The following is a 12,574-nucleotide window of genomic DNA, read 5'->3' on the forward strand; positions in this document are numbered from 1 at the left end:
CTCAAAAAACTGGAAAAAAGTAAAAGGATAAACCCGATGAAAGTAGATGTATGGAAATGATAAGTGTAAAAGCATAAAATTGATGATGTCAAAAATGAAAATATAATAGAGGATTTTTAAAAGCCTGCTCTTTGAAAAAAGCTAATTGAATAGGCAATTCTCTGGCAAGATTCATCAAGAGAAAAAAGACATAAATAACTAATATCAGCAATAAAAAGGAGACAACAATATAGAAGAAGATGATAGATGAGCTTTATCCCTATATACTTGAAAACTTTGATGAAATAGCCAGTTTACTAAAAAAATACACCTTAGCAAAACTGGCCAAGGAAGAAATAGAAAACCTGAAATAGACCTATTACTAGGACTAATATTTAGCCAATATGTACTGGTTCAGCTGAAGTACTGTTAAAAGATTGAACTTCTTCCATACCAATTCGTAAATAGGCACTGCCCTGAGTTACCCTCTGACACCCTCTGACTACCCAGGCCCCTCTTCTAGAGATACCTCCCACAAAACCTTCCCATGATTCAGCAGCAAAAGTCCCCCTTACACAATATGGCGATTCCAGGACCCTGTTCCAGCACAGCCATCTGCATCTATTCTGACTGGCAAGTGTTCATGCGGTGCTTGTTATTTAAATATTCTGAATATCACCTCTGCCACAGCCATTAAAGAAATGGAAAAAATGAGTTAAAAACTACCTACAGTACTAATAAAAGAGCAGGTCTGTCAGTTTTACAGGTGACTTCTACCAAATATTGCAAATAAGAGAGAACATTCTAATTTTATTAAACTGATCAGATTATTGAAAAAGGGAATTCTTACATCATGTATAAAATTAGTATGACCTTGATACCCGAACTTAACAAAGATAATATTAAAAAAAAAGAAAGACCAATCTGTAATATGAATGTAAATACAAATATTCTAAATGCAAAGAAATTGAACCCTACATTATAGTAAATATCATGACCAAGTTGGGCTTACTCAAGGAATGAAAAGATGGTTTATCAATAGAAATTGTATTAATATAATTACCCACATTAACAGATAAAATGGGTAAATCTGTATGATTGTTTCAAATGAGGAATAAGATTCAACATTTAGTCATAATTAAAAACAAAAGAGAGGAGATATCATAACCAACCTTACAGAAATTAAAAGGATTAATAAGGAGTACTATGAGCAACTTTATGGCAACAAATTAGGCAACACAGATGAACAGATAGACACCTAAGGAGTCACAAATTACTGAAATTGACTTAAGATAAATAGAAAATCTATTGACTTATAGACCTACAGCAAGTAAAGATATTGAATTGGTAATTTTTTTTTTAAGATGGAGTCATTGCAACCTCTGCTTCCCAGGTTCAAGTGATCCTCCTGCCTCAGCCTCCTAAGTAGCTGGGATTACAGGCATCCACCACCACCCCTGGCTAATTTTTGTATTCTTAGTAGAGACAGGGTTTCACCATGTTGGTCAGGCTGGTCTCAAACTCCTGACCTCAGTGATCTGCCCACCTCGGCCTCCCAAAGTGCTGGGATTACAGGTGTTAGCCACTGTGACTGGCCTGAATTGGTAATTTAAAAATACTCCCACAGTGAAAAGCCCAGAATCAAATGGCTTCACTGATTAATTCTACCAAATATTTACATAGTAAATAATAACAGTCCTTCACAAACTCTTCCAGAATATAGAGGAGACAGGATATTTTCCAACTCATGCTTTGAGTCTACTATTATCCTGATACCAAAACCAGACAGACACCATAAGAATAGAAACTACAGGGCTGGGTGTGGTGGCTCATGCCTGTAATCCTAGCATTTTGAGAGGCCAAGGCGGGTGGATCACTTGAGGTCAGGAGTTCAAGACCAGCCTGGCCAACATGGTGAAACCCCACCTCTACTAAAAATACAAAATTAGCTGGGTGTGGTGGTGCATGCCTGTAATCTCAGCTACTCAGGAGGCTGAGGCAGGAGAATCATGTGAACCCAGAAGGTGGAAGTTGCAGTGAGCCAAGATCACACCATTGCACCCCAGCCTGGGGCACAAGAGTGAAACTCCATCTCAAAAAAAAAAAAAAAAAAAAAAAAGAATAGAAACCACAAATATTCCTAAAAAAAAAAAGGATGGAAAAATCCTCAACAAAATATTAGCAAATCTAACAATATATATAAACATTTTTATGTCATCACCAAGTGGAATTTATCCCAGGAATACAGGGTTGGTTTAACTCCCAAAATCAGTTAATGTAATACATTATACTAATAAAGGTCAAAACCCATATGATAATCAAGACAGAAAAGCACTTGACAAAATCTCTTTGTGATAAAACTAGGCATAAAAGGGAATGTATTCAAAAGCTAAGAATCTTGCTTAACATTGAAAGACTGAATGCATTCCCCCTAAGATGGGAAGCAAGGCTCTCACCACTTTTTTTTGAAATTATACTGGAGGTGCAACATTGCACTGGAGGTGCAATCAGGTAAAAAAAAGAAAAGGCATTCAGAATAGAAAGGAAGACGTAAACTGTCTTCATATGCAGGAAATATGTTTCTGTATACAGAAAATAGTAAGGAACCTACCAAGAAATCCACTAGACCTAATAAACAAGTTTAGTAAATTCACAAGATATACAATCAATTGTATTTCTACTTATAAGCAATGAACAATCCAAAAATGAATGAAGAAAATAATTTAATTCACAATAGCATCAAAAAGGGTAAAATACATAGGAATAAAATTAACAAAAGAGGTATGAGATTTGTACACTGAAATCTATAAAACATTGCTAAAGGGAATATAAGAAGTTGTAAATAAATGGGGAGATAGTCCATGTTCATGGATTCGAAGACTCCATATTATTAATTAATAACAAGTATTGGCAAGAATATGGAGAAACTGGAACCCTGATTGCTGAAACCCACATTGCTGGTGGGAATGTAAAATGGAATAGCCACTTTAGAAAACAATTTGGCAGTTTCATAAAATGTTAAACATGGAGTTACCATATGATCCACCAATTCCACTCCTAGATATCTATTCAAGAGAAATGAACATATATGGCCACACAAAGACTTGTACATGAATATTTATAGTAGCACTCATAATAAGCAAAAATGGAACCAATCCAAATATCCAGCAAGTGGTAAATAGATAAACAAAATGTGGTGGATGTATGCAACAGAATTCTATTTAGCAATGAAAACGAACAAATAATTGATACATGCTATGACATGGATGAACCTCAAAAAATTATGCTGGGTGAAAAAAGCCAACTTGCAAAAGACTACTTACTGTACGATTCTATTTATATGAAATATCTAGAATAGGTAAATCTATAGAGACAGAAAGTTGATTAGTGGTTGCCTGGAGCTGAGAGTGGGAACAGAAAGTGATTGCTAATGGGCAGGAGGAATCTCTTAAGGTGATGAAAATGTTCTAAAACTGGATTGTGTTGATGATTGCACAGCTCTGTAAATTTACTAAAAAATTACTTAATTGCGGCCTGGCATGGTGGCTCACACCTGTAATCCCAGCACTTTGGGAGGCCGAGGGAGGGTGGATCACCTGAGGTCAGGAGTTTGAGACCAGCCTGGCCAACATGGTGAAATCCCGTCTCTACTAAAAATGCAAAAATTAGCAGGGCGTGGTGGTGGGCACCTGTAATCCCAGCTACTCAGGAGGCTGAGGCAGGAGAATTGCTTGAGTCCAGGAGGTGGAGGTTCCAGTGAGTCAAGATCACGCCACTGCTCTCCAGCCTGGGCGACACAGCGAGACTCTGTCTCAAAAAAAAAAAAAAAAAAACTTAATTTACACCTAAAATGAGTGAGTTTTATGGCATGTAAGTTATACCTCAATGAAACTCCTGAATCATTAATTAACTAGAGATAGAAGGAAATTTATCAAAAGTATATACTAAAAAATTATAGCACATTTTAAAATGGTGAACCTTAAGAAGATTTCTCCTTAAAATCTGGAAGGAGAGCTTGCTCACTGTTACCACTACTGTTCATCAGTGTCATGGGGTGGGTGAAGCGGGGGAGGGTACTAGTTGGTGCAATAAAAGAAGGAAGAAAACAATTATATATGGATTGGAAAGAAGAAAACACTATTATTCACAGATGATATATCAGGCGTTGGCAAACTATTTCTGTAAAGGACCAGGTAGTACATATTTTAGGCTTTGTGTACTACATGGTCTCTGAGCTGTCATAGATGATACATAAATGAATAGATGTGGCTGTGTTTATACAAACTTTCTTTATAGAACCAGGCAGTGGTCAGGCACCGTGGCTCATGCCTATAATCCCATCACTTTGGGAGGCCAAGGTGGGAGGACTGTGTGAGCCCAGGAGTTTGAGACAAACCTGGGCAACATAGTGAGACCTCATCTCTAAAAAAATTTTAAAACATGGCCAGGCACGGTGGCTCATACCTGTAATCCCAGCACTTTGGGAGGTTGAGGTGGGCAGATCATGAGGTCAGGAGTTCGAGACCAGCCTGACCAATATAGTGAAACCCCGTGTCTACTAAAAATACAAAAAAATTAGCCAGGTGTGGCAGGTGCCTGTAATCCCAGCTACTCAGGAGGCTGAGGAAGGAGAATCGCTTGAACCTGGGAGGCGGAGGTTGCAGTGAGCCGAGATCGCACCACTGCATTCCAGCCTGGGCAACAGTGCAAGACTCCATCTCAACAACAACAACAACAAAAAATTTAAAACATTAGCCAGGTGTGGCCGTGTGTGCCTGTAGTCCCAGGTACTCAAGAGGGCGAGACAGGAGGACCCCTTGAGCCCAGGAGTTCAAGGTTTCAGTGAGCCATGATTGCACCACTGCACTCTAGGCTGGGCAAGAGATTGACACCCTGTCTTTAAAACATAAAATAGATAAAAGTGGGCCAAATTTGGCCCATAGGCCAAAGTTTTCTACTCCCTGTTCTATATAGAAAATCTTACAAATTCCTCAGAGAAATTATCAGAATTAGTAAGATTTAACAAAGGTCATTAGATATAAATTATGGAAGACAGTAGGGAGGTTCCTCAAAAACTTAAAAATAGAACTACCATATAAATCCAACAATCCTTCTACTAGGTATATATCCAAAGGAAATTAAATCACTATGTCAAAAAGATATCTGCACTCTCATGTTCATTGCAGCACTATTCACAGTAGCCACGATATGGAGTTAACCTAAACGTCCATCAATGAATGAATGGATTAAAAATGTTGTAATATACACAGCAAAATACTATTCAGCCTTAAGAAAGAAGGAAATTTTGTCATTTGCGACAATACGAATGAGCCTGGAGGACATTATATTAAACAAAATAAGCCAGGCTCAGAAAGACAAATATCACTTACATGTAGAATCTAAAAAAGTCAAAAACTCATAGAAGCAGATAGTAGAATGGTGGTTACCAGGGACTGGGGACAGGTGGGTGGAGTACAGTTGGGGGAAACTTTGGTCAAAAAATACAACATTTCAGTTAGGAGGAATAAAAGTTCAAGAGATTTATAAGGTACAACATGATGACCACTGTTAATGACAATTTACTGTTGTTATTATATATAATTGAAATTTGTTAAAAGTAGATTTTAAGTTTTATCATCATAAATGCTAAGTATGTGAGGATATATTTTATATATATATATATATATATATATATATATATATATATATATATATATATATATAAATTAGCTTGATTTAGCCATTCCACAATATATACATATTTCAAATATCATGTACACCATTAAAAAAACTCATTTTTTTAGGCCTGGTGCGGTAGCTCATGCCTCTAATTCCAGCACTTTGGGAGGCCAAGGCGGGTGGATCATTTGAGATCAGGAGTTCGAGACCAGCCTGGCCAACATGGTGAAACCTTGTCTGTACTGAAAATACAAAGAGTAGCCGGGTGTGGTGCCACACACCTGTAATCCCAGCTACTTGGGAGGCTAAGGCAGGAGAATTGCTTGAACCTGGGAGGAGGAGGCTGCAGTGAACCGAGATTGTGCCACTGCACTCCAGCTTGAGCGACAGAGTGGAATATAGTGGCACAATCATAGTTTACTACCACCCTGTCCTCCTGGGCTCAAGCCATCCTCCTACCTCAGCCTCTCAAGTACCTGGGACCACAGGTGTGACACTCTGCCTGGCTACTTTTGCATTTTTTCATAGAGACAGTGTCTCATTATGTTGCCCGTGTTGGTCTCTAACTTCTGGCTCAAGTGATCGTCCCACCTCGGCCTCCCAAAGTGCTGGGATTACAGGCATGAGCCACTGCACCTAGCCAATAAGCAAATTTTAAAATAAAGGGCATAAACTGCCTGGGCACAGTGGCTCACACCTGTAATCCCAGCACTTTGGGAGGCCGAGGCGGGTGGATCACTTGAGGTCAGGAGTTTGAGACCAGCCTGGTCAACATGGTAAAACCCCATCTTTACTAAAAATACAAAAATTAGCTGGGCGTGATGGCAGGCGCTTGTAATCCCGGTTACTCGGGAGGCTGAGGCAGGAGAATCGCTTGAACCTGGGAGGCAGAGGTTGCAGTGAGCCAAGATCATGCCACTGCATTGGGCGACAGAGTAAGACTCTGTCTCAAAATAAATAAATAAATAAATAAATATATATGAAAATAGATATTGAAAAGTTACCCAGAATATAATATGAAAAAGATACTGAAATGAAAAGATAGAAAATATAAAGAAGCAAGTTATAAGAAAAGGAGAGTCAAACATGAATGTTTCATACATATATTTGGAGCTCTAAAAGAATAGGGAAAATCAGTGAGAGGCAATATTGGAATAATGACTGAGAAACTTTCAGAATATATGAATAATACGAATCTTAAGACTTGGAAAGTCAAATGAATCCCAGTAAAGATAAATAAAAAGAGATCCAAATTTACATATACCAGTGAAATTGCAGTACTCTAAAGACAGAGAGAAGATTCACCAGAGGGGGGAAAAAAGATAAATTACGCAAAGTAATAGTCAGACTAATAGCAGACTCACAAATAGTAACAATGGAAAATAGAACTCTGTGGAAAATTATCCTAAATATTCAGAAGGAAACAACGACCTAAAATTATATGCTAAGCTAAACCTTTATTCAATAAGATGAGTTGAGCTGGGCATAGTGGCTCATACTTATAATCTCAGCACTTTGAGAGGCTGAAGTGGGAGGATCACTTGAGACCAGGAGTTCCAAGACTAGCCTGGGCAACACAGCAAGACCCCATCTCTACAGAAAATTTAAAAATTAGCCAGGAGTGGTGGTGCACACCTGTAGTTCCAGCTACTCGGAAGGCTGAAGTGGGAAGATTCCTTGAGCCTGGGAATTTGAGGTTATAGTGAGCTATGATTATGCCACTGCACCCCAGCCTGGGCAACAGAGGGAGACCCAGTCTCTTAAAAGAGTGAAATAAAGATTTTCAGAACAGGCTGGGCATGGTGGCTCACGCCTATAATCCCAGCACTTTTGTAGGCCAAGGCGGTGGATCACCAGAGGTCAGGATTTTGAGACCAGCCTGGCCAACATGGTGAAACCCCGTCTCTACTAAAAATGTGAAAAATTAGCTGGATGTGGTGGCAGGTGCCTGTAATCCCAGCTACTTGGGAGATGTATATTGTACAACATGATGACCACTGTTAATGACAATTTACTGTTGTTATTATATATAATTGAAATTTGTTAAAAGTAGATTTTAAGTGTTATCATCATAAATGTTAAGTATGTGAGGTTATATATATATATATATATATATATATATATATATAAATTAGCTTGATTTAGCTATTCCACAATATATACATATTTGAAACATCATGTACACCATTAAAAAATTTTATTTTTTTTAAAGGCTGAGGCAGGAGAATCGCTTAAACCCAGGAGGCGGAGTTCACAGTAAGCCAAGATCGCGCCATTGCACTCTAGCCTGGGCAACAAGAGTGAAACTCCGTCTCAAAAAAAAAAAAAAAAGATTTTCAGAACAATAAAAAGCGAGAGCATTTACCTCAACAAAGTCTAACTTTAAAAAATTCTGGCCGGGCATGGTGGTTCATGCCTGTAATCCCAGGCATGGGTGTGGTGGTGCGTGCCTGTAATCCCAGCTACTTGGGAGGCTGAGGCAGGAGAATCGCTTGAACCCGAGAGGCAGAGGTTGCAGCGAGCTGAGACAGTACCATTGCACTCCAGCCTGGGCGACAAGAGCAAAACTCCATCTCAAAAAAAAAAAAAAAAAAATTCTGAGGGATATACTTCAGAAAGAAAGGATCAAAAAAGGAATTTTGGAGATGAACGAAGGAATGATGAGCAAAAAGATTGTTAAGCATGTATGTAAATCTCAATATACATTGACTGTAAATTCTATTTTTTTTAACAGCTGGAAGTTTTACAACTTTTTCTTCTGGTACTCATTTTCATTATATTTTCTCATAGAATTATATCCTGTTATATGCTCAGGCTGGTGTGCAGTGGCGCAATCATGGCTCACTGCACCGTCCACATCCCAGGCTCAAACCATCCTCGCACCTCAGTCTCCAGCTAACTTTTTATTTTTTGTAGAGACAGGGTCTTGCTATGTTGCCCTGGTTGGTCTTGAAATCCTGGGCTCCATCTGTCCTCACGCCTCAGCCTCCCAAAGTGTTGGGATTACAGGTGTGAGCCACCACCCCTAGCCTACTGATCATTCTTATTGGCATCAAAAATATGCACGTAAACTGACATTAATTTTAAAAATTGTTTTCTGTGACCACAGGGCTATTAGTGTTACATTTCTTCTGGATTTAATGATCATTACAATATTATTAGTCCACAATTGATTAAAACAACATGTATTATTTTAAATAATAATTATTAACATAAAAAGTAAAATTTATTGGAAAGACATCTCATTTTTGAAGTTTCAATTTTTTTTTTTTTGAATAGAGACAGGGTCTGTCTGTCTGTCACCCAGGCTGGAGTGCAGTCGTGTGATCATAGCTCACTGCAGCCTCAAACTCCCAGGCTCGCGTGATCCTCCCACCTCAGCCTCCTGAGTAGTTGGAACTATGAGTGCACACCACCACACTCAGCTAATTTATTTTAATTTTTTAAATTTTTGTAGAGATGGGGTCACCATCTTGCCCAGGATGGTCTTGAACTCCTAGGCTCAAGCAATCCTCCTGCCTTGGTCTCTCAAAGTGCTGGGGTTACAGGCATGAGCCACCATGCCTGGCCTCAAATATTTTTTAATTGACACATTGTAACTGCACATATTTACAGGGTACAATTTGATGTCTTGACACATATATGTTGTATAATGAGCAAATCAGTATTAGCATGCACTTATCATTCCTTTGTGGTAAGGACATGTAACAGTCGCTCTTCTAGCTATTTTATAATATACTGTATCTTACTATTAACCGTCATCACCCTACTGTGCAATATTAATACCCTAGAACTTATTCCTCCTAATTGTAATTTTGAGCCCATTGACCAAGCTCTTCTCATCCTCCCTACATTTTATTTTGAAGGGCAAAAAATATGATTATTACTGAACCGTTATATTTATGATAACTCTAGATTTTGTTGGCTTGGTTTCTCCTGTAGGTATACAGAAGATGGGTGTCCACATAAGAAATTCTTTCACACACGTTTTCTCATGCGAATGAGGTTAACACCAGATTGTTCCAAAATGTTGATTTCAACGTCCTCTGGATATCTCTTAATTTTGCATGACCTTGACTTAACTAAGTCTTTAGAAGTAGGCAGCTATCCCATTTTAAGAGCAAGAAGAACTACTTCAAGTTCAGGTAAGCTTTTCTTTTTTGGTCAAAAAGATTTTTCTCGAGAATCTCAAACATAGAGATGGTATAGGTTTCTTTTCTGAAAATGATAGCAGGAAAAGGGAAGACAGTTTTTTAAAAGGCATTCTTTAGAAAGCTCATTGATGGGTTTTTATCTAAGCAAGTATAATGATTTGTATGTATCTCTGACATATCATTCATATGTACCTCTGAATCACAAATGGACTAGGAGGAATAACTGCTGACCCTAAAGTATTTTCTTTTAGCTTTATGCTAGCCACAGGATCTTTTCATCAGTAATTTTGAATCATCACTATCTCAAAAATTAGTGATGGCACAAGGTCTTAAGTCCTTCTGGAATCAAGCAGAGCTTTTATTAAATTATGGTCAATATAGAGTTTTAGTTTTATCTGTATCCTAGACTTACAGATGTCCAGACACAGGTAGCTGGTGCCATCTTATCTCATTACTCTCTAAACGCTCTTTTGCTAAAACTCTGTCTCTTCTCCCATTGCTGATTTTGTTAGACTTAAGAGAATTTAGGGTTCAGAAAAATGTACGTATTGTATTTTATCAACATTATGTGATTTAAAAAAGACTATATTTCATCTACCTTTGGGAAAGAGGGGACTGGTGTGGGGACATACCCATCATTTACATTATAAACAAAAATCCAGGGGAAAAAAGACTTAAGCATTTGGAACATAGAATGCTAATAAATTGCTATTAAAAGGCAGCTTTGAATGGTTGGGGCCAGGTGCGGGGGCTCACACCTGTAATCCCATCACTTTGGGAGGCCAAGGTGGGAGGATCGCTTGAGCCCAGGAGTTGAACTCAAGGGTAGCCTGGGCAACATAGGAAGACCTCATCTCTACAAATAACTTAAAAATTTAGCCAGGTGCAGTGGCTCACGTTTGTAATCCTAGCACTTTGAGAGACTGAGGTGAGCAGATCGCTTGAGCCCAGGAGTTTGTGACCAGCCTGGGCAACATGGTGAAACCCTGTCTCTACGAAAAACACAAAAATTAGCCAGATATGCTAGCATGCATCTGTAGTCCCATCTACTCAGGAAGCTGGGGCAGGAGGATCACCTGAGCCTGGCAGGTTGAGGCAGCAGTGAGCCATGATTGTGCCCCACTGCCCTCCACCCTGGGCAACAGAGAAAGACCCTGTGTCCAAAAAAAAGGAAATGAAAAAAAAGGTTGGAATCTTTCTCCTTGTGCACAGGACCACTTCTGAAAATTCCTTTGGGAAAGTACAGACATCATTGTACTGCAGTGCCTGGCATAACTGTCAAAAGTAGAAATTTAAGTTTTACCAACTTACTTGCAAACAAGGGATTTCATAAATATACGAGTATAATCCTTTGAGATTCAAATTTGCCTTTTAAGTTAAACATGATAAGCAACTCTAACTTAGTGAGAAATAGTGATTTTGAATGTCTAGTTGGCCTATTTCAACTCAAAAACCAACAAGGTTTTCAGTTTTCTAATGGTAATTCTGATACTAAATAACATTACAGGAAATTAGACTAGTAAGAATTCTTAACATAGGTATGGGACCACTAGCAAAATGTGATGATGAAATAGACACTGCTATTTGGAGTAATATATCAGACTCCACTACCTGATACTCATTTTATTTTTTTCAATGTAAACTTTATGTCACATTTCACAGTATTCACATAAACTTGGCACAGTGGTGCATGCCTTTAGGCCCAGCTACTCAGGAGGCTGAGGCTGAGGCAGGAGGATCACTTGAACCCAGGAATTAGGAGTCCAGCCTGGGCAACATAGCAAGATCCTTGTCTCAAAAAAAAAGACTATTCACGTAATTTCAAGAATGATAATGGAAGTTTTTGGTATACTTTAAAGAAGAATCTCTTCATGTTTCTGGTAATGGGCCTGTTGTTTGGACCCTATTTTAACATAAAACAATAGGCTTAAGAGCTTAGTTTTCATTTTCATGGAATTTTTGGGTTCCATTTTAGTACAGAAATCATGAGGATCCAAAGACGCTCCTATGATTATTTGGTTTTTCATTTTTATTTCACATAGTCAAGTCTTTGATATAAAAGATTCAGAAAGGGACTAGATCTTAGAACACTTCAAAGAGCTGTCTTGCCTTCCTCAGTCTTATAGGCCAGTGATATATGAGCATTTTTTCAAAATTTTAAAACTATGGTTCGAGTAGATAATTAAAAAGTTAAGAGCCACTACCAGAGTTATGCTAGGTTTATTGTCAGAATTTTTTATATTTTTAAGATTTGACCACTTCATCAAGTTCATCTGGTCCTAGAGTTTCTGGCTCACCTTGTCATCATAGTGATTCTAATTCTTCTGAGAAACACATGTCACGAGCCTCTCAAAGAGAAGGTAGGTTAAAAGTTGGATTTTATAATCTTGTAACAACAGATTATGCCAATCTGATTAATTATTGATTGATTAAAACCAGTTTTATGGTTTTAATCCATAAAAATAAAAGCAATGGAGATGAGGTGATTTATCCCTCAGTCATCATCTTCAAAAAGCTAACCGAGAGTCCCTGGGGTTGAATATCTTGAGTTAAATCTTAATAGAACTTGAGCTTTGGTTTTATTAGCTGGACTTAGTTTGGTCTAGTTTGGAGAGGAAGTAGTTCAGAAATATAGATTTCAATCAAGATTGTTGTGAAAATTAAGTGAGATTATGCACGTGAAAGCTCTGTATAAATATAAGTCATGAATTTTCAGGTAATTGTGAAAGTCACCTGGTTACCCTCAGACTTTTTGCTCTGCC

General features: G+C 38.2%; 1 protein-coding gene across 8 annotated transcripts in view; it reads left to right on the forward strand.

Annotated features, from left to right (window-relative positions):
• Positions 1-12,574, forward strand: part of DCAF10 (DDB1 and CUL4 associated factor 10) — a 67,111-nt gene that overhangs the window by 44,626 nt on the left and 9,911 nt on the right. For 5 of the 8 annotated variants that reach the window (NM_001286810.2, XM_047423866.1, NM_024345.5 and 2 more), the window contains 2 exons: positions 9,601-9,803; positions 12,062-12,172. In NM_001286810.2, the coding sequence (NP_001273739.1) occupies positions 9,601-9,803; positions 12,062-12,172 (314 nt within the window). The remainder of the gene's footprint in view (positions 1-9,600; positions 9,804-12,061; positions 12,173-12,574) is intronic. The other 3 variants (XM_047423865.1, XM_005251577.5, XM_017015128.2) reach the window with 1 other exon arrangement.

Source organism: Homo sapiens, chromosome 9 (genome assembly GCF_000001405.40).
Source record: "Homo sapiens chromosome 9, GRCh38.p14 Primary Assembly".
Classification (NCBI taxonomy): Eukaryota; Metazoa; Chordata; class Mammalia; order Primates; family Hominidae; genus Homo; species Homo sapiens.